The following is a 25,089-nucleotide window of genomic DNA, read 5'->3' as shown; positions in this document are numbered from 1 at the left end:
TCTGTGTCCAGGTAACTCTAGAAGGAACTAGTACCAGTGCTTGCCTCTGGGCAGGAAAAGTGAATTAGGAGACGATTACTTTTTACTGTAATTCATTTTGTTCTTTTGATTTTTTTTAACCATATGCATGCATTACATACTATTTAAAAAATATAGGCTGGGCACAGTGGCTCGTGCCTGTAATCCCAGCATTTTGGGAGGCCGAGGAGGGCAGATTGCTTGAGCTCAATAGTTTGAGACTAGCCTGGGCGACATGGCGAGACCCTGTCTCTACTGGAAATACAAAAACGGCCAGGCGTGGTGGCTCACGCCTGTAATCCCAGCACTTTGGGATGCTGAGGCAGGTGGATCACCTGAGGTCAGGAGTTTGAGACCAGCCTGACCAACATGGTGAAACCCTGTCTCTACTAAAAATACAAAATTAGCTGGGTGTGGTGGTGCATGCCTGTAATCCCAGCTACCTGGAAGGCTGAGGCAGGAGAAATGCTTGAACCCGGGAGGTGGAGGTTGCAGTAAGCCGAGAACGCACCATTGCACTCCAGCTTGGGCAATGAGAGCGAAAATGCCATCTCAAAACAAATAAACAAACAAAAAACAGCTGGGCATGGTGGTGTGCGCCTGTGGTCCCAACTACTCGGAAGGCTAAGGTGGGAGGATCACTTGAGCATGGGAAGCAGAGGTTGCAGTGAGCCAAGATCGCACCACTGTACTCCAGCCTGGGTGACAGGGCAAGACTCCATCTCAAAAACAAACAAACAAACAAACATACACCATCGGGACCACCTATCAACACTGTACCTCAACTACAGCCTGGTGCAGTAGAATAAACTGTGGGATCCAAGCCTATTCCATCAGTGACTCACTAGGTTGACATCGGGCAAGATCTCTTTATGCCTCCCTTTCTTTAATGCAAAGATGCAGGTATTATAGCAATACCTCAGTCAATGTTAACTCCTCCCTTCTCTTTATGGACTCTTAAGGATTATTTATATGAAGACCACAAAATCATATAGGCCACCTCCCTTACAACACCACACTTTGGGTTTGGTAAGCTGTGGGTTTGATCCCGGTTTTCACTGAAAACTGCATGCGTGTATGCACGTATGTCCACACACCTCTCCATGAATGTGTTCATCCGCAGGAAGAAGCCCACGTGCCAGGCGTCTGTGGGGGAGGGGATAGTAAAGTGGTCTTTCGCTCTAAGAAAGGTTATCTATTATTTGAATTTTTCTCGTTGGGGATGATTTCTATCATTATAAAATATTTTTTTTAAAGGAAGAATCTTATTGTAAAAAATGTGTCCAAAACCCAACAGATATTCCTCCTATTTTAAGTAACTTGCTAACAACAAAACTCTAGCAAGACAATAAGAGAATCATACCAGTCCCAGGAACTTGTAATATCACAGAACGGATCCTCAATAAAGGGTCTTCATAAGGCTAATGGAATGACTCCCACCTGAAAGATTCTTTAAACATCTTCTTGGTTGAGCTTTCTTGCAATAATTTATCAATCCGACAGCAGGACCTCTGGTTCCCCTGCCCTGGGCCCATCAGCGCCCCCTGCCAAGGGTCCCCTACCTTGCCATCAGAAGCAGTGTTGATCCTGTAATGGTACACCCTCCCTTCGTATCTCAGCGAGATGGACCTCTGGCCAGGACTGCTCTCACTCTCACGCACCAAGAAGCTGCCATTGATCCCGCTGCTCAGCAGATACTCAGCGGCATTGCGGGACACAGGCCCATGGTACCAGGAGTGTTTCTCCAGACTGTTGACTGGCGTGATGTAGTTGCTTGGGACCCAGCCTTGGCCATTTTTGGTTTGGGCTTCACACCATTCCCCATTGTGATTATAGCCTAAGACCCGGAGCTTTTCACCTGAGAAGAAAGGAACCAAATCAGACATATCAGCTTTGGAAACCAGCTTCGTTCTTTTTCATTGATTCTTGTGTAACTACTAAAAATCTCCAAATTCCTAAATACCAATTTCATTTTAACAAGTCCACATAAAGATATGCATTTATAAGTGTATGAGAATTCACGTTTACATTTGAAGCTTCCTGTTTGTACTGAACAGATAGGTAAGTGTATAGCCTCAGTTTTTATAAATCAATTATGTTTATTCAAGTGCTCTGTTCCTAATATAAGACATTTTAGGGAAATAATGCTTTTTCTTAGGGGAAAAATTGCGTTCAGTATTTTGTCCAGCTGTCCTTTTCAGTATAAAAAATAGGGCAAGTTCTGTTTTTGCCCAGGGCTATTGTACAAGAACTCCTCTAAGGAGAGTCGACTCCCTTAGAAACATGCAGTTGTTGTTTTGGATATCCCTGCAGTCCAGATTTCAAAGCTGCTCCTTTAACGAGCAAAGGGTGGTAGGTCAAACCGCAATTCCCAGATTTCTATCTCCTGCAACCACCACTAGCTGCCCACAACCCTTTTACCTTTAGTTATGCTTAGAGTGTTATCTCCACTGGCCACAAAATCATACAGTGCAACGAAAAGGTTGGGGTCATTTTCACTGGGTCCAGCGAGAAGGTTTTCCTTGGAGTTCCAACGAGCGGCTTCACTCAGACCCTGAGGCTCAAAGTCAGATGCTACTGGCCGCTGAAGGGCTTCTGGAAGAGAAAGGGGGGAACAGAAAAAAGAAAAAGGAAGAGAAAATTGGGAGAAAAAATTAGTTTTATTCTCAGAAGCAAAAATATTTGTGTTTCCAACATTACACATTCCTATTTCATTTCTTAACATCTGTACATACTATTATCATTAAGGTGGTTTTTAAAAAACTCTTCCTTTACTAAATCTTGTGGAAATTAAGTATTTTCACTCCAAGGTGGTAATTATTGTTCCCCAATAGTTTGAGCTTCTAAAATTCATGGATTCAATATGACTTTAGTCAAATTAAAACAGTCTATCCACATATGCATTTGCCTTTGCTTAAAATATGCAATGAAAATTTCTTGCTTTAGCCGGGCATGGTGGCTCACGCCCGTAATCCCAGCACTTTGGGAGGCCAAGGTGGGTGGATCACCTGAGTTCAGGAGTTTGAGACCAACTTGACCAACATGGTGAAACCCTGTCTCCATTAGACATACAAAAATTAGCCGGGCATGGTGACGCACACCTGTAGTCCCAGCTACTCAGGAGGCTGAGGCAGGAGAATCGCTTGAACCCAGGAGGTGGAGGTCTCAGTGAGCAGAGATTGCGCCACTGCACTCCAGCCTGGGTAACGAGAAACTCCGTGTCAAAAAAAAAAGCCGGGGGTGGATCATGAGGTCAGGAGTTCAAGACCAACCTGACCAACACAGTGAAATCCTGTCTTTACTACAAATACAAAAATCAGCCGGGCATGGTGGCAGGTGCCTGTAGTCCCAGCTACTTGGGAGGCTGAGGCAGGAGAATTGCTTGAACCTGGGAGGCGGAGGTTGCAGTGAGCCAAGATCGTGCCACTGTACTCCAGCCTGGGTGACAGAGTGAGACTCCATCTCAAAAAAAAAAAAAAAAAAAAAAAGAAAAGTCAAATCGTACAGAAGGGCTTAAAATGAAAGACAAATACTTTCTATCCCAGTCCTCTCCGCTCCCAGAGGCAGAGCTGTTTTTTTGGTGATCACCCCCACCTCTCTAAGTACCAGCTAGATCACTGGAGTCCTATTCTCCGTAACAGACGCACACCTTCACTGCCTGTTCTTCCAACTAGGACAGCGTCTCTGAGGACTTACTTCACAAGACAAGGCTATTAACACACCCCACCCGTCCTTCCAGCTTTCTTGCCCCCACGACCACCCTCAAATATGTTCTTCTGTAAATTTTTTTTTTTAACCTTGTGGCAATTATTATTACAGAATAGAAAAAACTGTTACTAAACTTCCATGTTTTGTCTGAAACAGATTCTAAAAGTTGGAAATCAATCAACAGCTCTTAAATTAGAAAATGTGTGAATATTATTCATTACAGGGTCAAATAGGTTATTTGTTCCTGAAGTTTCTTCTTGCCTTTTTTTTTTGAACAGGGCTCAAACGCTCCAGAATTTCTTTGTGATAAAGACAACGTGTAGACGAGTTCTTGCAAACCAGCAAATCAAATAACCTCAAGTAGATCTTACAGTTGAAGAACATTGTGGAGTGAAATCCAAAATACTCATTTAAGGAACTACAATTTAAAAATCACTAACTGGGCCAGGCACAGTAGCTCATGCCTGTAACCCTAGAACATTGGGAGGCTGAGGCAGGCAGATTGCCTGAGCCTGAGCTCAGGAGTTCAAAACCAACCTGGGCAACACGGTGAAACCCCGTCACTACTAAAATAGAAAAAACTAGCCGGGCATGGTGGCGGGCGCCTGTAGTTCCAGCTACTAGTCCCAGCTACTCAGGAGGCTGAGGTAGGAGAATCGCTTGAGTCTGGGAGGCGGAGGTTGCAGTGAGCTGAGATCTCGTCTCTGCACTCTAGCCTGGCAGACAGAGTGAGACTCCATCTCAAAAAATAAATAAATAATAAAAATAAAAATCACTAACTGAAGTAAACCTTTAGGAACTGTTTCTCTGAAAGAGTAATCCCAAATCATGTCATTATGATGTTTAGTAATTTTTATTATCTTAAAAAGAGAGGCCCGGCGTGGAGGCTCACCCCTGTAATCCCAGCATTTTGGGAGGCTGAGGTGGGCAGATCACCTGAGGTCAGGAGTTCGAGACCAGCCTGGCCAACATGGCAAAACCCCATCTCTACTAAAAACACAAAAATTAGCCAGGCAAAAATATGAAAATTAGTGGCGGGTACCTGTAATCCCAGCTACTCAGGAGACTGAGGCCGGAGAATTGCCTGAACCCGGGAGGTGAGGCTGCAGTGAGCCGAGATTGTGCCACTGTACTCCAGCCTGGGAAATGGAGTAAGACTCCATCTCAAAAAAAAAAAAAAAAAAGAAAAAGAGAGGAAAATTCTAATTTGAAAAGAACTGAAGGATCTACCAGATGCTTGAGCCAAACAAATGGTAACAAAATTGTTTTAGTTTTCCTTCTCTATGGATTTAGAGGATCCTCACGCATTCTTTCCTGGGTAATAATACCATCTCAGGGGTGGGACTGATTCTGAATTATCTTTAAAAAAAAAATTATCTTTTAAAAAAAGAAAAAGAACCCACCTGATCAAACTTCCGGAAACATGACCGAGAACTTTCAGAAATGAATGTGCTCTAAAACATCTCTTTGGGATAAACCAACAGAACATAAACCATGAAGAGCTTCAAGTCTCGCTTCTGTACTACTAACTGAAGTCAACCTTCAGGAACTGTTTCTCTGAAAGGGTAAGTCCTAAATTACATTATTACAATATTTGGTAATTTTTCTGAATGGCGGGGGGCAAAGATAATTTCAAGGAACAGGATCTTGCAATACTGACATCTCCTAGAGTGTAGAAGAAGCTTAGTCATATGTTTGGCCCCCTTTCTCGACTATTTACATTGGCTCTAAAAGTACACCTAGCGCCATCACTATTAGGGATTATCAATTTTATTAAAATATGTGATCCCCGAGGTCAGGAGATCGAGACCATCCTGACTAACACGGTGAAGCCCCGTCTCTACTAAAAATACAAAAAAATTAGCTGGGCGTGGTGGCGGGCACCTGTAGTCCCAGCTACTCGGGAGGCTGAGGCAGGAGAATGGCGTGAACCCGGGAGGCGGAGCTTGCAGGGAGCCGAGATCACGCCACTATACTCCAGCCTGGGTGACAGAGCGAGACTCTCTCAAAAAAACAAACAAACAAACAAACAAACAAAAACAAACAAAAAACAACAACGTGATCCCCACCCCCATTTAGTGTACATTGGTTTGGTAGTCTTGACTGTAGGGCCAAAGACTGTCCTTTGAAATGTAGGTATGTGGGGCTGGGTGCGGTGGCTCATGCCTGTTATCCCAGCACTTTGGGAGGCCGAGGCAGGCAGATCACCTGAGGTCAGGAGTTTAAGACCATGCTGGCCAACATAGCGAAACCCCGTCTCTACTAAAAATATAAAAATTAGTTGGGCGTGGTGGTGCACACCTGTAGCCCCAACTACTCAGGATGCTGAGGCACGAGAATCGCTTGAACACAGGAGGCAGAGGTTGTAGTAAGCTGAGATCATGCCACTGCACTCCAGCCTGGGCAACAGAGTGAGACTCCATTTCAAAAAATAAGTAAACAAAACGAAATGTGGACATGTGATTAGAGCTTGATGTTTTCTTCTGTAAGTCCTCCCTATAATGAATATATCATCTCACTTCCAGCTTCAATTTCCTACAGATGGAGGGAGAACTTAGAGCCATTCACTACGCATTCCCACTGTCAAAGCTTTCTAGATTTCTGTAATTCATTCCAATCATTTACTGTTGTCTTACACCTAATTCTGTAGTAATTTGTTAAATTTATCTTCCTTTACTGAGTCTTTCTAAAGCATTCATCTTAATTTTCCTAGAAACAATTCTCTTTTCACACTTGCATTTCATTGGTTTCATATCAACCAAGTAATTACAACAACAGCTATATCTGAAAGAACCAGGCTTGGAAACAAACATGACTGGCTCTTGTGGACAGGAACATATGCAGCAGCAGACAGTGGTAGTGTGGCTACCCCATCCCATGTGCCATGGGGCACAGGGACTATGGAGGCATGTTTTATAAGGAAGTGAAGAGTGCCGGTCAATTTAGCAAGTCAGTCAAGTGGAAGCCAGTTACGAGCTTCCACTGTCATTATATTAGAAAAACTGTGAGGCAGAGCATTCTTGACACACAAGGACTTTACATACCAACAAGAAAAAGAAAAATCCCTCCACTATGGAAAAAATGGGGCAAAGCCACGAATAAACAATTCACAAAAAATTTACATTATCATTAAAGGCCAGGTGCGGTGGCTCACACCTGTAATCCCACCACTTCGGGAGGCCAAGGCGGGCAATCACTTGAGGTCAGGAGTTTGAGACTAACCTGGCCAATATGGTGAAACCCCGTCTCTACTAAAAATACACAAATTAGCCGGGCATGGTGGCGCATGCCTGTAATCCAAGCTGCTAAGGAGTTGAGGCAGGAGAATCACCTGAACCTGGGAGGCAGAGGTTGCAGTGAGCCAAGGTCGCGGCACTGCACTCTGCCTGGGCAACAGAGTGAGACATCGTCTCAAAAAAAAACAAAAAAAATTACCATTAAACATGGAAAGTGTGTGAACGCTTGATAATAATCACTGAAATGCAAATTCCTTGCCAAATCTGCAGATACATCTTTTTGACGCTGACAGCCAGTGTGGGTAAGATTTCAGAGAAACGGGCACTCTCATACAATGCTAGTAGTAGGTGTATAAATTGAGGGCAACTGGAATATGAACCAGAAGTCTATAAAGAATTTAATATCTGATTTACCTCTAGGAATTTATCCTAAGTGATCAACACAATTATTTCTATACACTAATTTTAAACAACAGCACAGAAAAGGGCAAGTACAAAATATCTATCAACACAGGATAAGTTAGTTTATGCTGCATGCATAAAATAGGATATATTTTAAAAGCCACTCAAAATATTTTTGGAAAAAATATTTAAGTTTGAGAATATACTCGCAATAATATATTAAGTGTTTATATTACATTCCAGTATATAGGCATGGTCCCAACTATGAAAAAATAGAAGACGAGGAGGAATTTCACCAAACTGTGAACAGTAGTTAACTCAGGGTGGTGGGATTTTAAGTGCTTTAAATTTACTTTTCTTTTTTTTTTTTCTCGAGACGGAGTCTCGTTCTTGACACTCAGGCTGGAGTGCAATGGCGTGATCTCTGCTCACTGCAACCTTCACCTTCCGGGTTCAAGCAATTCTCCTGCCTCAGCCTCCTGAGTAGCTGGGATTACAGGTGCCCGCCACCACACTCGGCTACTTTTTTTGTATTTTTAGTAGAGATGGGGTTTCACCATGTTGGCCAGGCTGGTTTCGAACTCCTGACCTCAGGTGATAAGCCTGCCTCAGCCTCCCAAAGTGCTGGGATTATCGGCGTGAGCCACCGTGTCTGGCCTTACATTTTCTTTATACTTCTCTATATTATGGTATATTTCTCACAAAAAATGTGGATTGTTGTTATTACTAGAAAACAATGACAAACATAAAAAAGCTTTAATAGAAGCCAATTGAAATTTTTTTTTTTTTTTTTTTGAGTTGGAGTCTCACTCCATCGCCCAGGCTGAAGTGCAGTGGTGCGATCTAGGCTCACTGCAACCTCCAGCTCCCAGGTTCACGTGATTCTCCTGCCTCAGCCTCCTGAGTAGCTGGGATTACAGATGTGAGCCACTGCGCCTGGCTAAGTTTTTTTTTTTTTTTTTTTTTTCATTTTCAGTAGAGACGGGGTTTTGCCATGTTGGCCAGGCTGGTCTTGAACTCCTGGTCTCAAGTGATCTACTCACCTCAGCCTCCCAAAGTGCTGGGATTACAGGCAGGAGCCACCGCGCCTGGCCCTAAACTTACATAATTGATAATTTAACATGAAAAAGCATGCTGGGGAGGGAGGCTTCCTTCAGGCTGTCCTGAAAAGGCACTTGAGTGCCTCCCTCTGGTGCGTCAACCTCGTGGCCATGAGCATACAACTTTGGCAGACCAGGCCCACACAGGAAATTAAACCAAAGTCATGAATACAGAAATGCTTTTCTTCTCAAATGCCATTTGACCTCTTCTATCAAACATTCTGCCGCATCTGGATTTGATCAAAGTTACATAATCGGGGAAGTGGCCTGGAAAACACCTGGAATAAGCAGAATGCAGATCCCCGCCCAGAGGTGGCCATCCACTTGAAGTGTGGGTTAAAGTGGGATGGTCCCGAACATGTCGACAGATGCTGGGAATGTTATGCAAGAGGATGAGGCCTTTGTTAGGAAGGAAAGGGCCTCCCACTGCTTTTTGATTCAACAGGACGTCAGGCGATCCAAGGCAGTCTCTCGACTTTCCTCTCCAGTTCTTGCTCTATTCCACAAATTAATGGCTAAAGCCCAAAGGGAAGTATTGCTCATGCATGCCTCTGGACCGAGACACTGAAGTGTAGCCACAGTCCAACACCAAAACCTTCCAGTCAATTCCCAATCCAGGCTGATGTCAAAATTGACTCACAATGTATAAATGCCAAGTTACTTGCTTCATTTCATAGTGAACTATGCTCGTCAACCTTAAAAATGATCACAGCTTACAAGGCCAAAGTTGCAGAATGTACTTAAATCTTTCTTGCTTAAGACACAAACTTTCCACCGGTCCCTCTGTCAGGAAGCAAGATTCCCCTAAAGAAGGCTGAAGGCTTCATTCAAAAAAAAAAGATGCCCCAACTAGTTCCCTTCTTCTGTTCTTCCAGCAGATCTTTTTGGCTATTGTCTTGGGAAATAAATTTTAGCATCTGCTATTATTCTTAAATTTTTTTAGTGAACATTTTCTGCAGCCTCCTTTCTGAGTCATACTTTAAACAGATTTAAGATCTGGATCTAAGATCTGGATCTTCAAAAGTGCCTCTCACTCCACTTAAAACCATATTGTTATTTTGTCATAATGTTAACAAAAAGGTTTCCACTCACCAACTAAACTCAGAAAAAATCACTAATTAGCTAGTTGAGCACCGAGAACAGTAATACATCTAAAAAATGCCTCAAACCTCTAAAAAGCTCTGGCTCTGTCTATGACAGTATAAAATTATTTGGAAATTTTATAAGAACCAGGCCACAGAATTCACTGGATCTGTGCATGATTAACTTGTTTAGACAGTATTCTAAGAAAATGGTTTGGGTCTTTAAAGTAAAATTGAAAGATCGTTTTATATAAAAATAATCCTTTCTCAAAGCTGTGAGTCACTGATGAAAAATGTTTACAAAAGATTCTCGGACATGGCATATCTGGCCTAGACTTCCAGGGGCTGCTGGTGCTGTGCCAGACGCTGGCGAACAGTCAGGGAAGGGAAATGCCCATGAACCCCAGTACCGGCTACTTCACAGCCCAAGGGGGGACTTGACCTCCAGGAAAAACATCCCCGGGAAGCTTCCCACCTTCCTGCTGGCACTTGTGCCCAACATCATAGTTCCCACTAGAGTGCAAGGCGGCCAGCTATGGAGCATTCATTACTGTTCACACTGTGGGCTCTCCGGAAGGTTCTTGGAGACGGTTCAGTGTGGGGGGGACAGGAGGATGGAGCATGTCAGACGTGACAAACGTTCCCTTTAATTTTGCTCACATTCAATTATTTAAACTTGTGCTGCTTTATTCATATTTCCTTTGTGGGTCCTTCGCTATTATCCTCCAGTTCAAGGAATCTCTGTAATTTAAAAATCTATAAAACAGATCCTTCTAAAAAGAGGCTTCGTGTTTTATTTCATACTCCGTTCCAGCGGATGAGATCATGCTCAGACTATTCTCAAGTTATTTTATAACAGTCTCAAACAACTTTTCAAAATATGAGCTTAGAGGAAAAGTATTATTTCCCACATTTTGAGCTTGATGAAAGTCATTTTATCTATTTCTACATGGTCCTTTATTTTGTAATTTACACCTTCACCCAGAGAAGTTAAAATTATTAAAACACACACACACACAAGCACACACACACACACACACACACACACAGACATACGTTTAACTGAACACAGCCTTTGTGTTATCTTCAAATCCCAAAACACTGTGTCAGCTGCTAGGGTGCAGGGAGGGGCAGGGCAGTGGGGGAAAGACGTAAAGAACCAGCAGTAGCCCCGCTCCTTGGAGAAACACAGCTGCTGAAAACTTACAGACTCAACAGCAAAAGTCTAACGGAAGGCCAGCGCTGTCCTGTGGATGAATTTTTTTTTTTTTAGATAGAGTTTTGCTCTTGTTGCCCGGGTTGGAATGCAATGGTGCATTTACAGAGGATTGCAAAGGAGAACAGTCCTCAAAAGACTTTTTGAAACAGTCCTCAAAAGACTTTTAAAAACTTGTAATATAGCTCTTATTAATGCCTTAAATAACTGTCTCTTTATTCGCACATTAAATAACAAGGTCCAGTGGCAACTATGTCATTTCAAAGTAGTGGTGCGAACAATGATCACAACCGTCACCTGATATCAAACACCTGGTTTCTGGCCAGGTGTGGTGGCTCACTCCTGTAATCCCAGCACTTTGGGAGGTCGTCTCTACTAAACCACGTCTCTACTAAAAATACAACAATTAGCTGGGCGTGGTGGTGCACATCTGCAGTCCCAGCTACTCGGGAGGCTGAGGCAGGGGTTTCGCTTGAACCCGGAAGGTGGAGGTTGCAGTGAGCCAAGATTGCATCACCACGCTCCAGCCTGGGCAACAGAGCTCGACTCTGTCTAAAAAAAAAAAAAGAAAGGTTAAGATTTGGACTGTTGATGGGGATAGGAGTTAGGATGGAGAATTTTGTTTCTTAAAAATTGTCTGGCTAAGACATTGTCATGTAAAAGATTCCAGGGGAAATATTTAAACCTTGGACTAATTAAATAACTTTATTTTTAAAGGAGGTTTCTCTAGAAACTCATTTAATCTACTGCCTATAATGGCTACAAGTGGAAAGTAATAAAACTGCATTTATTTTAAAAGAAAATTGCATAATTTGGACCTCTCACTAATTTATCCCAGTCTCCTTTTTAGGCTCTTCCTGTGAGAATGCTGAGGTTTTACTGAGCCAATTCCTTAGTGCAGGACTTGTTAACCTGGAAGACCCTGGGAGTCTGGGATAGAATTCAAGGGCTCCATGTCCTCTGATGGGAAAAATTAAAATTTTATTTCACTAACCTCTTACTAAAATGTAGCATTTAATTTTTTTAAGAACACAGGTAACAAACCAGAGTAGAAGTACAGTGCCTGTGACTGTCTCTGGTAGAAACTAGGTATTTCTTTTTTTGTTTGGTGGGGAAACCGAGTTTCACTCTTGTCATTCAGGCTGGAGTGCGGTGGCGCGATCTTGGCTCACTTCAACCTCCGCCTCCCGGGTTCAAGTGAGTCTCCTGCCTCAACCTCCTGAGTAGCTAGGATTACAGGCGCCTACCACCATGCCCAGCTAATTTTTATATCTTTAGTAAAGACGGGGTTTCACCATGTTGGCCAGGCTGGTCTTGAACTCCTGACCTCAAGTGATCTGCCTGCCTTGGCCTCAAATATTAACCTTTCTGAAGATACACAGTCCCTGTCCCCCTCCCTCAACCAAAAAGGAAAAAAAAAAAATTGTGTCACCTTCCAAGAATCTACGGTGAAAAAGTCTCCAATTACTGGAAATGGAGTACAAAGACACTCATAAATAGAGATGCCACTATCTTCAAGGCCATTCTGAACACCTGCCATTGACGCCCATATCAGGACTGAGGCTGGAAGTCATCCTCTGTCAGTTCCCACCCTGCATCTTGGCACTTTTCCTCCTCAATCTCTCATCACTTCTGTCCTTTCCATGCTCTACCACGCCCTTGGCTGGGTCCCCCTTTGGCCATTCCACCTCCACTCCCTACTATCAGGGCCATCTTTCTCAAATGCAGACCTGACCAGGTCACTCTCTTGCTTCAAATCCCTTAGAGATGGCTGCCAGCCGAGAGGCAGAAGAGAGCATGGGCTTGGGAGGTGGCCCTGTCTCCCAATGGTCAGCTACCACTTACTGGCAGTGTCATCGGGGGCAATGCTGGGATCATGATGTGCTTTGCAGGGTAGCTGGCAGTTTGCAGCTAACATGGGACATGTTTTTGAGGGCCTAGGCATGCACAGGCCCTCAAAAAATGGCTGGGGTTGTTATTCCTTCCACCACTATAGTAAAAGTCTGAGCTCCTGAAGCAGGCATGCCAGGCTCTTCAGGGTTGAGACTGGGAGCATCTGGCCCTCTACTCCTGCTTTCCATTCCAGCCTCTCCAAACTCCTTTCAGATCCCCCAGGCCTCCTGTTGCTTGCCTCTCCTGACTGCACTGTGACAAGTGCCATTTACTCTCCCTAGAGTTCGTTCCCCAGCCTCTTCTGCTCTTCCTGGCCTCCCCATCTCCCATAAACCTTCTCTAACCGGTCCTTCCTCCTCCCCATCACCTCGCCCACAACAGGATGCTTCTCCTTTAACCCATTTGGGTACCTGGTGTCTGTCTCTATCACCACCCTGCATCTATCACCCAGTAAGCAATCTGTTCACATGTCCCCAGCAGTACAAAAAGCATGGGCTCTGGGTGGACAGGCCTTGTTCAAACCTCAGCACCAGCATGTCTTGAAGACATTTGTTTCTGAGCCTCAGTTTCTCAACTGCACAACAGGGCAACAACGGCATGGCATCAACCTAGTTGGGCTGTCGGGAGGGCTCAATGAATCCTGCATGCAGAGAATTTCTGCATGGATGCCAACTGTGGCACCTGACACTGGGATGCTCACTACAGAACAACCGCGTCTTCTCTTATGCCACGCCTTCTCTTCTGCCACCACAACAATGTAAACTCCTCTGGGGTAGAGACCAAGTCTCTCATATCTCAGAGCCTTCTGTGCCTGCTCAGTGCAACGCAACAACACAGCACTGCTGGGTGAACTCAGATGTGGAACACCCTGCACTTGTCTGTCTTTAGCTACAAGGTACTGAAAAGTGCAGTTTAATAATCTGTTAACCTGTAATAAGAGCAGCAATAATGACAGATAGTAAAGTTGAAAAACAAATGCAACCTGACCAGGAAAACCTATATAAAAGCCTAGGGAACATAATGATTTGTTTTGACTGAAATATAAACCATGGCCAAAATCCTAAAGGTATAATGTAAAAACACAGTTCTCTGTGCTTTCAAAAGAAATAGGATTTGCTCCAGATTCCTAACAGACACCACAGTGAGCTCGCCGGACACCTTCCCAACAGGTTCCAGGAATCCCTGCAGTGGCCGCAGATCCAGACTGTCCACAGTCAGCCTGCTAATACCCACAAAGGCATTTTTATTGTCACAGGCCATTTGCAACAGACTGAAAGGCCTCCCCTTCTGCTGCCAGCCATGGCTGGTTTGAAAGCATTCACATTTCCTCTTCTTTTAACATGTCTTCATGGACTCCGGGGTCAGCTGACACCAGAGGCACTGGGCTACCCAATGACAGGCAATTTCCCCAGAAAGCCTTGTTAGCCATTAGTATTTTTATTGCTGATCTGGGTAAATGAACATGACCCTCCCCACCCTCATGGTATTTTGGCTTCAAAAAGCAATGCCTAATTGTATTCACGGCCTGTCTTTAAATACAATTTTAAGGTATTCAATGAACAACGCTATTAGCTAAATTTGAGGGCTTGTAAGACAGATAAAGACTAGGTTTCTATAGAGAATTTAAGAGTAATGAGGTTAAAGTTTATGCAACTTAATGTGATAGAATAATAGCTAATACTTACTGATCCCGTATCAAGTGCCAGCACTTCATCTGCACTGAATCCCTATAACCTTATTACGTAGACTCTATTATGAAGGCATTTGAGGGCAGGAAATGGAAACAGAGAGATGTGAAGTTACTGATGGCCTCTCTCTCCAGCTACCCATCCATACATCAGCTGCCTGTCCATCATCTGTCTCCTGCGCTTCTCTTGCTCTCACTCATTCTCTCTCTGTACCCACCCACCCCAGCCCCACTGGCCATCCTATTCCTCTTTGTCTCCCTTCTCTCAGTCTTCCTTCCCTCCCAGCTTGTTTTTTTTTCCCTTTCCTGTCTCAACCTTTTTGTATTTGTCTCTCAGTCTCTGTCTCTATAGATTTCCCCCTTATGTCTCCCCTTCCTCCCTCCCTCTCTCTCTCTCTATCTCCTTCCCACCTATTTCTCTCTGTCTTCCCTATCACCAGTACTCAACACACGCAATATAACAAAAATATTTATGGTGTAACATGGTAAAGAAAGAAGGATTTGAAAACCAACTTTTTTTTTTGAGCTGGAGTTTTTGCTCGTTGCCCAGGCTGGAGTACAATGGTGAGATCGCGGCTCACTGCAACCTCTGCCTCCCAGGTTCAAGTAATTCTCCTGCCTTAGCCTCCTGAGTAGCTGGGATTACAGGCACTCCCCACTACGCCTGGCTAATTTTTTATATTTTTAGTAGAGACAGGGTTTCAGCATGTTGGCCAGGCTGGTCTCGAACTCCTGACCTCAGGTGACCACCTGCCTCGGCCTCCCAAAGTGCTGGGATTACAGGCGTCAGCCACCGCGCCCGGCCTGAAAACCAATTTCTAGAGCAAGCTTGTTCAACCCATGGCCCACGGGCTGCATATGGCCCAGGACGGCTTTGAATGTGGCCTAACAAATTTGCAAACTTTCTTAAAAACATTATAAGATTTTTGGCCCGGTGCAGTGGCTCACGCCTGTAATCCCAGGGCTTTGGGAGGCCGAGGTGGGCGGATCACGAGGTCAGGAGATGGAGACCATCCTGGCTAACATGGTGAAACCCCCGGGCGCCTGTAGTACCCTCTACTAGGGAGGCTGAGGCAGGAGAATGGCGTGAACCCAGGAGGCGGAGCTTGCAGTGAGCTGAGATCGTGCAACTGCACTCCAGTCTGGGCGACAGAGTGAGACTCTTGTCTCAAAAAAAAAAAGAAATGAGATTTTTGTGGGATTTGTTTTGTTGGTTTAGCTCATCAGCTATCGTTAGTATGTTTTACGTGTGGCCCAAGACAATTTTTCTCCCAATGTGGCCCAGGGAAGCCAAGATTGGACACCCCTGTTCCAGAGTAACGATTCTACCCATCTGAGGACAAAGTTACACTATCAAAACTAAGTAATTATAATTAGCAAGCTATTCTTCCTAATGGCTTTGAAACTGTAACTTTATTATGTAAGAAAACAAGACTGACTATAAGCTGATAATTGTTAAAGCCACATCATAAGTACATGGGAGTTCATTATGCTGTCTACTTTTGAGACAGTTTTAGGCTGGGTGCAGTGGCTCATGCCTGTAATCCCAGCACTTTGGGAGGCTGAGGTGGGAGGATTGCTTGAGCCCAGGAGTTTGAGACCAGCCTGGGCGACATAGTGAGACCCATCTCTATTTTTTTTAATTAAAAAAGAGATAGTTTTAAAAATTGACACTAAAAAAGAACAAACAAACCTATGAATTTATTTTATAAATTGTTCTTCTGTGTGTTTAATTAAGATCCACCATTATGGAGGAAAAGTTAAAGTCTTCCAATATCCCATTTGATCTTTAGTTCTTATGTATTTAAGAAAGCTACCCATTGATTTATTTTCTGCTTTTATTTCAGATCAATGATTATACTGGCACAATTACAATGACTTGATTTTACAAGGTGGTAAGTGGCACCAGATTTTCAGTTTTCACGTTTGAGGCTGTGGAAATATTGTCTCTGGACAGGAGAAATAAAATGCCAACCATGAGCCAATGGGAATTTCTCTTCCACAATGAAAATATTCACTACGGGAATAACAGAGGGTGCGAGGAAGAGAAGACATTTTTCAGCCAAAAATCAAGGACAGGAAGTATTAATTATACGCATCAAAACACACTTAGAAACAAACTGCTTTATTAGCAAGAAAAACTATGGGTGGGATTGGCTGAATTCTGTCATCACTTCAACCATTACAGAAACTGGTAAAGCCACCATTTTAGGCTGCTAAATATTTGCTTAAAGTAACAACAGCTTACTTTTCTGCTAGGCTCTTGTTCTGTGCCAGGCTCCCTGCTAAACAATTTACATGAAGTCTCTCAACAACTCAGTGAGGTAGGGATTACTACAGGCCTTATTTTAGAAATGGGAACACCAAGGTACAGTGAGCCTCGGTGAATGCGCAAGACCAGCCAAGAGCACAGGTGGCATTTGGGTCCAGACTGGCTGGCTCGGGAGCTGCCTGCCTGTGCAGAAGAATGAGACCCTAGGAACGCTGTGTGAGCCATAAACCTGCCTGGACTAAAGAGCATCTCAGAGGAATCTCGTATCAACATAACACAAACATACATTTAACTCTTACCAGTTTCAGAGCTTTCCCTCAATCATCTTATAGACCCTCAAAACAATCCTCTAAGGTGGCTGAACAGAGATTGGTCTCTCTGTCTTAGAGGTAAAAACACGGAAGCTCAGAGAGGTCAGAGGAAAACTGGGATCTCCTGCCTCCAAATTGAAAAGTACTGCCACCTAAACTGGGGCCCTTCCTCTTTTCTAGAAACCTCAGGGCACTGGTGTGAAAATTAAGTGAGGCTGCACATGATGTGCTCAGTGCCAGGGCCTGTGACATTGTAAATGGTCAACAATGTTAATAGCACCCAAAATGAAATGGACAGACTGGCCTTTTATTAGGTAACAGAAAGAGTCTCACTTTCTTTGTTACTGAACAAGGGAAGTATCTGATGACCTCAGGAGAGAGCAGAAAGCAAGCATAAGCTTCTCCAAAGCTCAAGTTCTAAAAGCGTATCTGTATGGCTGGCACCACATGAAGCATCCGCTGGAAAGTTAGCTGCTGAAAAGAAGCATTTAAAAGTGGGCCCTTAAAATAAATTTCGAAAGTTCAGGCTGAGTGCAGTGGCTCATGCCTGTAGGGATGCACTTTGGGGAGGCCAAGGTGGGAGGATCACTTGAGGCCAGTAGTTCAACACTGGCTTGGCCCGGGCAAACTAGTAAAAATAGTGAGACCCTGTCTCTACAAAAAAAAAAAAAAAATTTTAATTAGTCAGGTAGCATATGCCTGCAGCCCCAGCTACTTGGGAGGCTGAGGTGGGAGGGTTGCTTGAGACCAGGAGCTCAAGGCTGCAGTGAGCTGTGATTGTGCCACTGCAGTCCAGCCTGGGTGACAGAGCAAGACCCTATCTCCAAAAGCAACAATAACAACAACAACAAAAAGTTCAAGAAGAGTTCAGTTCACAGACATTAGTTTTTGATTCTACAGTACACAACTGTCACATACATGTACAATATTCAGGCACAATGTATGTAAATACAAACACATGAACAAATGAAAATAAAATGAAAAGAAAACCCTGAATTCAAAAGGCTAGTGTTCATGTTTTCTTTGACGTCTCCAGGGGAAAGAAATAATCAGAAAATTCAGTGTTCAAAGTAGACCGAATATTGCAAAGCTAAATGCGGTCCTGGTGAATAGATACTGCTATAAACATGCATATTCACAAAAAGCTGGAGAGCAAAATTCACATGTTATAATAAATGCTTATATGTGCACACAGTATTTCTAGAAGGACACACATAAAACTCCAGGGTGATTGCCTCTAGGTGGGGAAAATGAATAGGAGAGGGAATTACTTTTCACTAAATACCCTTTTAGGATTTCTTACATACAAGTATTTTTATATACATTTAAAAAAAATTAATCCTACTGTTAAAGCTAATCATTTTGCCAGGATCAGGTTTCTAGAAAAGAAAAAGAGACTACCCTTACATTTCAGGGATTAATTGGAGGAGTTTCTGGAGATACCATTTTGAAAATCACAGTGAATTCCAAAAGAGACATCAGTAGAGCATCCAGTGGCTAAAAGTGGGCTCTCCCAAGCCAGATAGCATGAGTTCAAATTCCAGTACCCCCACTCACTGGCTCTGTGACCCTAGACAAGTTACCTAACCTTTTGGTGACTCAGTTTCCTCATCTATAAAATGGAAATAATCATAGTGCTATCATGAAATATAACTATATCAGATCACATAGAGTAATAAAACAGTATTTGGCACATAGTAAGCATTTAATAATTGCTAGCCATCTTTATGTTTACCAGTGTTGCTTTGACAGCTAGGCTGAGTAGCAGGTAGCATGCACCATCAAACCACATTTATGGTGGAAGCTTCTTTGATAGAACAATGAAAAACTTGATCTCATTCAATTCTCTCCCTGACAGGGAATGCCTGGGACCCTGAGTGGGCGTCAATAAACACTGACTGACTGATCGACACTGATTGACTGATTTAGGCTGTCAGTGAAAGTGGAAAGCCTGGATTACTCATCCAGATGTTAGGAACTATTTTTCCCAAAAGACAAATAGCACTTCCAGTCTTTAAAAGACTATCGCTGAGGCTTGTTAAAGTCTACCAACTACAAAATGATAATTCCATTTACTTTCTCTAATTAACTATAACAACGAAAAGAAGAAAACTCAGTAAGAAAGAATTCCTAGAGTGACACCTTCCTAGAAGAAGGTTTAACCCAAGGCAGTCTGCTGTACTAGAACTTTTTTTTTTTTTTGAGACTTTAGAGTCAACATTATAATTCATTTCAAGACATGTTGGAATGAGTTTTAGATTTTTTTCCCAAAACAATAATTAAACCAGCCAGGTCCATACTAAATCTCCGGTTTACTCCCAGGAAAACAAAACAATGACTTGGCAAAGCTGTGACCTAAACTTTGCTCCAGCTCTGCACTTACAAAAGTCCATTCATCCCCGCCTTAGGCACCCATCTGCAAAGTGGAGATGATGATGCCTAACACTAACTCGATACAGATGTAAATGAGAATGTGCTCAGAATTTTGAGCAACTTGGAAAAAATAAGCGATGTATTAATTGAAGATGATTTGGAATGCTCAGACATCAACTTTTAGGGACAAATAAACAATCTCCACCCTCCAAATGCTAGGCTCTGTGAGCCCACTCCACCTAGATGAGCCTTCTCTGGGCCATTCAGCCCCCTGGAATCCCAGAGACAGAAGAGGAGTGAGGTACACAAACTGTGGCAAGAAGGGCAAACAGGTTTCACCCACATCACTAGTGCGATCTGCATATGTGACTCCAAGCAGGCCTTCAGGGTAGAGTCAGAGGTTAAGGAAAGAAAAATAGGTTAGAAAATAAATGAGGCCTGTTTATTTCTCCTGCTTTTTTAAAAAGAAAAACATGGCATTCTAGCAGAAATCCTACTTGATCTAAAGTGAGCTTCACATTTCTTTCTACTCTTTTTTTTTTTTTTTTTTTTTTGAGACCGAGTCTTGCTGTGTCGCCCAGGCTGGAGTGCAGTGGCGCGATCTTGGCTCACTGCAACCTCCCCCTGCCGGGTTCAAGCAATTCTCCTGCCTCAGCCTCCCGAGTAGCTGGGATTACAGGCGTGTACCACCACGCCCGGCTAATTTTTTGTATTTTTAGTAGAAATAGGGTTTCACCATGTTGGCCAGGCTGGTCTCGAAATCCTGACCTCAAATAATCCACCCGTCTCGGCCTCCCAAAGTGTTGGGATTACAGGCTTGAGCCACCGCGCCCGGCCACATTTTTACTCTTATATTCTTAGTTGAAAACAACAGAGAAGTCCAAGTGCCACTCCATCTCTGAAGCACAGATAGCCTTTCTGCTGAAGGCAATGGTCTGGGAGCACCAGTCTCAAATCAGATCAATTTCATACCCACCTAGAAGCTACGAAAGTGAAGACCCATAACCCTTAATTTACTTTTTTTCCATTTATAAAACTAAAGACTACAACAGGAAAGAAAAATAAAATAAAACAGATGTAATTAGAGAAGGAGAGTAGGTAGAAAGAACGCAAAAGTGAAGCCCTCCTGGCCCTGAGCTTCACTTAAGGAAACGAACATGACACCCCAGTACTCTGGGGGACTCCTTGGAAACGCCTTCTTAAATGGGCTCCCCTCCCCTGAAAAGAGAGCGAATTCCTAAGACCTCTTCGTGGTCTGTAGATAAGATGGGGGTGGGGGAGATGGAAAGATCACTTGAAATTCTGTATCCATAAATGGTAGAGTGGTGCTCCTTGTGTACATGATGCTTAATGGAAATCGCATGTTTTCACAAACACGGGTCGATCTTTTTAACACACAGTCCCAATTAACGGTGGAAATTCCACAACGTGGGATCCCAGGGATGTTAAGGCCTGGCGAGTTGGCTTTCTCAAACTTTTTCGGGGGAGCCCGCACTGTGGGGCCCCGGACGCCGCCGTCACCATCCGGCGTGGCTCTACCGGGGCTGGTGCCGGGGCTGGGGGCCACGCTCCGCCGGCGGCGCCTAGGGGCCATCGCGAGAAAGAGAAAGAGACAGAGAGAGAGAAAAAGAGAGAGACAAGAGAAGAGAAAAGAGACAGACACAGAGAGAAAGAAAGAGAGACAGAATATAAGAGAACTGAAGAGAAGAGAAGAGAAGAGGGAAGAAAGAAAAAAAAGACAAGACCCGGGGAGGGCGCAGGCGGGAGCGCGCGGGCGGCGAGGCCTAGGAAGGGCCCAGCAGCAGCGGGAGGGCGCGCGGCTACTCAGCCCAACCCGTGCGGCCCGGGCTTACCTTCCAGATAACAGCTGGAGGACGAGGACAGCCCCTTCTTGGATTTGCAGCCCACCAGCTTCAGGCAGATCTCCAACATTTTCCCGCGCCAGCACGTCGGGGGCCGGAACCCCTCTCCCAGCTCGGTCCGCGGGCCCGGCTCAGGCCCGGCTCGGCCCGCGCGCCCCCCCGGCGCCCCCGGCCCCGCCAGCCGCCCTCACCGCCGCCCCGCGCGCCCGCGCCCGCCCATGGCCGCGGCCGCGTCTCCGCCTGGCCGGGACGCGCCTGTTAACAAAGGGCCCGGAGAGGGCGCCCGCCAGGCCCGCCCCCGCCCCGCCGCCGCCTGCGCCTTAACCCCCTCCTGGCCGCGCCCGTCCGCACCCAGGGGCCCCTGGCGTTCCCGAGGCCGAGCCCGGCCCAAAGCCACCGCCGCTTTCCAAAGCCAACCCGGGCCAATGGCGATCCTCGCAGGGGGAAGGCCGCGCGCGGCCCGCGGAGGTCTTTCTCCGCCTGGAAGCGCCGTCCCAGCCCCGGCGGGGAGGGTGCAGGCCTGCTCCACTCCACTTTAGAAGCCGCGCGCAACTCCACCGCGGCCTGGGGCGTCTCCAACCTGCACCGCTTTTGGCGAGTTTCCCAGTACGCGGTGCCAGGCAAACCCTCTGACCCGAGAACGCTGGTGAAAATGCATATTCCTCTGCAGTTACCAATACTAACTGGTCTCATTTCTACTCAACGCGCGTCCTGTGATTAAGGCTGAGGCAGTGGGTGTCTGGGGAGGAAGTCAGAGCTGGCACCCACAGGACAACCACACGTGCGCACGACACCCCGGTGAGGCCGCACATCCAGACCAGGATATGAGGTCAGGCTGCGAACAGACGGGTGTGAGTTCAGAGTGAGAGGACTTAGTCCCTACAATGAGAATTTTCGGAGGCACGGTCTGGGCCTCTTCTCTGATTCATTTTCTTTAACAGAGAACTTTTCCTCTTCCTTTGGCCGAGTGCCACGGGGTGAGGGTGGGGGGACCATTGTTTAAAATCCATTTCATTCAATTATTTTAAACTCTTGTTTGGACTGACCACAGACAATGTTATAAAGCAGCAACAATCACAGTCGTGTTACTGGCGCACACCCAGAAATCTAGGTCAGAGGGAAACAATAAGGAACTCAATGGCACCAAATAATTCAATAAAATCAGGTAAGTTCCCCTCATGACAGGAAAAGGAATTTATTTCATTTATTTCTTTCATAAATGGTGTTAATCACAAAACTGTAAAGGGGGAAGTTTAGTCCACATCTTCTAGCCATGAAGAGTAAGAGCTGACGTGTATTGTGCTCTTCCTATGTGCCATGTTACCTTCATTAACTGTATTGCATCTGCGTAATGATTCTGTGAGGAAACAGATTATCCCAATTCTTCAGGTTTAAAAACAAACAAACCCCACAGATGCTCAGAGAAGTCAGACACCTTGCCCACAGCTGGAAACAGGCGGAGATGGACTCAACCCAGGTCTGCCTGGCTCCAAGGATCAGGCTCCCGACCAGTGGATGATGCTGACCCTTCACATCAAGAATAAATTCCAAGTGGATTAAAGCATTGGATATCTTTGGTCAAATAACTAGCATTGTCATTATATGTTTCAGAGAAAGCCTTGGTTATGAGACCCTGGCTACTTTCTAGCCTATCCTGTAATGACAAAAACCCGGGTATCTTCAGTACCTCAGGAATGGCTAAGTAACAAGATCTTCACTTGGCTCTGCCAAAAACAGCACATAAAAACTCCAGTTGGACAGGATGTAACCAGTGTATATCACAGGGGTTCTCGGCCAGGATGTCATTAACTTTCCACATGTGTCCTGCCAAATTCTGATCAACATACAACATGTATTTTTACTGCCATTGAATGGACCTACTGCTAGAGTCGTGGTACCAGATCAGGCCTCATGAGCATCCAAGAGGGCACCATCAGGGAAGTTTGCAGCTCCCATCATCTGGAGATGCAGGACTACAGGGCCCCCAGGGGATGGGTGCAGTGACTCTGGATGCTTTCTAGGATCTGGGAAGCGCTGTCATTCTGCTGGACAGCCTGCGTGTGGTGACTGCTAACATGTTTAGTGTTGTCTTGAATCTGTCAACCTCTACACGTAATGCCAAAAATAACACTCAAAAGGGTGCCACCAGTACCAACTAGTGAAAAAATACAGTATCTGTCTGTTTTGTTGCCCTTTTGGAAAGTTCAGGGGCCTTGGATCAGACTATAATAAAGTCTGTCATTATATAGCATTTCATATTAAAGGGCCATATTCAAATTGGCGGCTTAATGCCAAGAATTACACATTATTAGGCATTTTGGAAATTCTAGCCATATCCTTGAATACCGTCTGTTAATATAGGCCCAGATATTTGCTTGCCTTGTGCTGTTCTTTATATTGGTATATGTTTATTTTTTTAAGCTAATTATTATTACTAATATTCTGCTCTTGAGTCTAAAATGATCTTATCCTCTTAAATCCTCTTAAAATGAATAATGCTTATAAACTGTACCCAAATCTTTTTAATTTTAGTTATAAAACCATACATCAACAGATCTAACAAAATACTGAATTAGTGGCAATGGATACTGAAAAAACTGCCAAACTACACTTCTGTATCAAACCTGGCCTATACTTTCCATATCCAGCTTTTGACGCTTTTGAAAGATACGAAGAGCATTCTGTTACAAGCAAATAAAGGAGAGCTTCAATCTTCTTACCAGAAGAACACCCCAAGAAGGATTCCTTCTAATCAGCCTAAGACCCAAAAGCTATTAGCTAAAAAGAAAGGGAAAAGGAAAGAAATTAAAGACTGTGAACTAACTTGTTTGCTATGTTGCATTAGTTTGGGAAGAAATACATTTTTAATGTGCATGTAATATGTGCCAGGCACTCTTAAGCCTCACAGTAACCTAATGATTTTGTATAGTTTAATTCCATTTCACAAGTAAGAAAACTGACTGGAGGGAGAGGGGGAAGTATTCTGTCCAAGTTCACACAGCCAGGAGGTAGGAAGGTAGGAAAGTCTTGAACTTTGTAAAATGGCAGAAAATTTCCAATTTAAGTGAAAGGTGGATAATATGAGTAAGATCAGAAGATGAAATAAGTAACATTAACTGTTGGGAAAACATGTCTTAGGAGAAAATAATTCAGGGAACTAGAGCTATTTAAGATTTTTTTTTTTTTTGAGATGGTGAAACCCCATCTCTACTAAAAGTACAAAAAAATTAGCTGGGCGTGGTAGCGGGCATCTGTAATCCCAGCTACTCGGGAGGCTGAGGCAGAGAATTGCTTGAACCTGGGAGGTGGAGGATGCAGTGAGCAGTGATCGCACCACCACACTCCAGCCTGGGCAACAGAGCGAGACTCCATCTCAAAAAAAAAAAAAATATTTAGAAGGAAAGGATAAACTCCCCAACATTAAAGCATGGGATCTGAACAATGTTTCTAAAAGCATAATCCATGGACAATCTATTTTGAATAATGTGGGGCTTGCTTAAAATGCGGAGTCTTGGTTTCTAGTCTAGAATCAGAATATGTGTAATGGGCTGGATCTGAAGCTCCCAGATGATCTGTATGCATATGTAAGATGGAAATCCACTGTTTGGGGGCCAGACACAGTAGCTCACGCCTGTAATCCCAGCACTTTGGGAGGCTAAGGTGGGCGATCACCTGAGGTCAGGAGTTAAAGACCAGCCTGGCCAACATGGGGAAATCCTGTCTCTACTAAAAATACAAAAATTAGCCAGGCATGGTGGTACACACCTGTAATCCCAGCTACTCGAGAGGCTGAGGCAGGAGAATCGCTTGAACCTGGGAGGTGGAGGTTGCAGTGTGCCAAGATTGCACCACTGCACTCCAGCCTGGGCAGCAGAGCAAGACTACATTTCAAAAAAAGAAAAAAAGAAAAGAAATCCACTGTTTTGGAA

At 44.4% G+C, this 25,089-nt stretch overlaps 1 protein-coding gene and 1 long non-coding RNA gene across 6 annotated transcripts in view, besides 15 other annotated features; one reads left to right on the top strand and one right to left on the bottom strand.

Annotated features, from left to right (window-relative positions):
* Window positions 1–25,089, bottom strand: part of ABL1 (ABL proto-oncogene 1, non-receptor tyrosine kinase) — a 174,633-nt gene that overhangs the window by 30,999 nt on the left and 118,545 nt on the right. Inside the window, exons 1-3 of one of the 2 annotated variants that reach the window (NM_005157.6) lie at window positions 21,152–21,423; window positions 2,440–2,613; window positions 1,581–1,876 (exon numbers count right to left, since the gene is read on the bottom strand). In NM_005157.6, coding sequence (NP_005148.2) covers window positions 1,581–1,876; window positions 2,440–2,613; window positions 21,152–21,230 — 549 coding nt within the window. In that variant the 5' untranslated portion in view covers window positions 21,231–21,423. Of the gene's footprint in view, window positions 1–1,580; window positions 1,877–2,439; window positions 2,614–21,151; window positions 21,424–25,089 lie in introns of those variants that run through there. The other variant, NM_007313.3, reaches the window with a different exon arrangement.
* Window position 2,537: a mitotic recombination region, noted in NCBI's record as "ABL e15a2 breakpoint recombination sub-region recombines with the BCR e15a2 breakpoint recombination sub-region within the BCR-ABL major-breakpont cluster region, producing the e15a2 transcript". NCBI's record gives the evidence for it as "EXISTENCE:nucleotide sequencing assay evidence [ECO:0000219][PMID:11392325]".
* Window positions 2,537–25,089: part of a biological region, named in NCBI's record as "ABL breakpoint recombination region", that runs on past the window's edge. NCBI's record gives its function as "recombination_partner: LOC107963947 | LOC107963948 | LOC107963951 | LOC107963955 | LOC107966121 | LOC107966125".
* Window positions 2,614–3,038: a mitotic recombination region, noted in NCBI's record as "ABL p225 breakpoint recombination sub-region, recombines with the BCR-ABL p225 breakpoint cluster region, producing the e18a2 transcript". NCBI's record gives the evidence for it as "EXISTENCE:nucleotide sequencing assay evidence [ECO:0000219][PMID:26252834, PMID:17268511]".
* Window positions 3,633–25,089: part of a mitotic recombination region, noted in NCBI's record as "ABL major-breakpoint cluster ALL sub-region recombines with the BCR-ABL major-breakpoint cluster ALL sub-region within the BCR-ABL major-breakpoint cluster region, producing the e13a2 and e14a2 transcripts", that runs on past the window's edge. NCBI's record gives the evidence for it as "EXISTENCE:nucleotide sequencing assay evidence [ECO:0000219][PMID:20703256]".
* Window positions 4,609–25,089: part of a mitotic recombination region, noted in NCBI's record as "ABL minor-breakpoint recombination sub-region recombines with the BCR-ABL minor-breakpoint cluster region, producing the e1a2 transcript", that runs on past the window's edge. NCBI's record gives the evidence for it as "EXISTENCE:nucleotide sequencing assay evidence [ECO:0000219][PMID:20703256]".
* Window positions 4,628–25,089: part of a mitotic recombination region, noted in NCBI's record as "ABL major-breakpoint recombination CML sub-region recombines with the BCR-ABL major-breakpoint cluster CML sub-region within the BCR-ABL major-breakpoint cluster region, producing the e13a2 and e14a2 transcripts", that runs on past the window's edge. NCBI's record gives the evidence for it as "EXISTENCE:nucleotide sequencing assay evidence [ECO:0000219][PMID:20703256]".
* Window positions 8,607–9,229: an enhancer, noted in NCBI's record as "NANOG-H3K27ac hESC enhancer chr9:133722835-133723457 (GRCh37/hg19 assembly coordinates)". NCBI's record gives its function as "activates a minimal SCP1, AML or CMV promoter by ChIP-STARR-seq in naive H9 embryonic stem cells {active_cell/tissue: H9 hESC(naive)}" and the evidence as "EXISTENCE:reporter gene assay evidence [ECO:0000049][PMID:30033119]".
* Window positions 8,721–9,015: a silencer, noted in NCBI's record as "tiled region #8295; K562 Repressive non-DNase unmatched - State 25:Art". NCBI's record gives its function as "represses a minimal TATA promoter and a strong SV40 promoter by Sharpr-MPRA in K562 cells {active_cell/tissue: K562}" and the evidence as "EXISTENCE:reporter gene assay evidence [ECO:0000049][PMID:27701403]".
* Window positions 20,850–20,899: a silencer, noted in NCBI's record as "silent region_20408". NCBI's record gives its function as "represses an Ori minimal core promoter by ATAC-STARR-seq in GM12878 lymphoblastoid cells {active_cell/tissue: GM12878}" and the evidence as "EXISTENCE:reporter gene assay evidence [ECO:0000049][PMID:35858748]".
* Window positions 21,316–21,841: an enhancer, noted in NCBI's record as "H3K27ac hESC enhancer chr9:133710223-133710748 (GRCh37/hg19 assembly coordinates)". NCBI's record gives its function as "activates a minimal SCP1, AML or CMV promoter by ChIP-STARR-seq in primed H9 embryonic stem cells {active_cell/tissue: H9 hESC(primed)}" and the evidence as "EXISTENCE:reporter gene assay evidence [ECO:0000049][PMID:30033119]".
* Window positions 21,370–21,679: a silencer, noted in NCBI's record as "silent region_20407". NCBI's record gives its function as "represses an Ori minimal core promoter by ATAC-STARR-seq in GM12878 lymphoblastoid cells {active_cell/tissue: GM12878}" and the evidence as "EXISTENCE:reporter gene assay evidence [ECO:0000049][PMID:35858748]".
* Window positions 21,842–22,368: an enhancer, noted in NCBI's record as "H3K27ac hESC enhancer chr9:133709696-133710222 (GRCh37/hg19 assembly coordinates)". NCBI's record gives its function as "activates a minimal SCP1, AML or CMV promoter by ChIP-STARR-seq in primed H9 embryonic stem cells {active_cell/tissue: H9 hESC(primed)}" and the evidence as "EXISTENCE:reporter gene assay evidence [ECO:0000049][PMID:30033119]".
* On the top strand, window positions 21,849–23,983 carry LOC124902287 (uncharacterized). Of its 4 annotated transcripts, none has more exons than XR_007061821.1 (3): window positions 21,849–21,989; window positions 22,212–22,325; window positions 23,693–23,983. It is a non-coding gene; the product is annotated as an uncharacterized LOC124902287 (long non-coding RNA). The 4 variants fall into 4 exon arrangements; XR_007061820.1 differs by having other exon boundaries at window positions 22,550–23,983; XR_007061822.1 differs by having other exon boundaries at window positions 21,849–21,958; window positions 22,212–23,983.
* Window positions 22,080–22,129: an enhancer, noted in NCBI's record as "active region_29163". NCBI's record gives its function as "activates an Ori minimal core promoter by ATAC-STARR-seq in GM12878 lymphoblastoid cells {active_cell/tissue: GM12878}" and the evidence as "EXISTENCE:reporter gene assay evidence [ECO:0000049][PMID:35858748]".
* Window positions 22,150–22,199: an enhancer, noted in NCBI's record as "active region_29162". NCBI's record gives its function as "activates an Ori minimal core promoter by ATAC-STARR-seq in GM12878 lymphoblastoid cells {active_cell/tissue: GM12878}" and the evidence as "EXISTENCE:reporter gene assay evidence [ECO:0000049][PMID:35858748]".
* Window positions 22,968–25,089: part of a mitotic recombination region, noted in NCBI's record as "ABL micro-breakpoint recombination sub-region recombines with the BCR-ABL micro-breakpoint cluster region, producing the e19a2 transcript", that runs on past the window's edge. NCBI's record gives the evidence for it as "EXISTENCE:nucleotide sequencing assay evidence [ECO:0000219][PMID:15843824]".

The sequence above is a fragment of the Homo sapiens genome, chromosome 9, assembly GCF_000001405.40.
Source record: "Homo sapiens chromosome 9, GRCh38.p14 Primary Assembly".
Lineage (NCBI taxonomy): Eukaryota > Metazoa > Chordata > Mammalia > Primates > Hominidae > Homo > Homo sapiens.
Note: the sequence above shows the minus strand (reverse complement) of the source record. Positions and strands in the feature narration are given on the sequence as shown.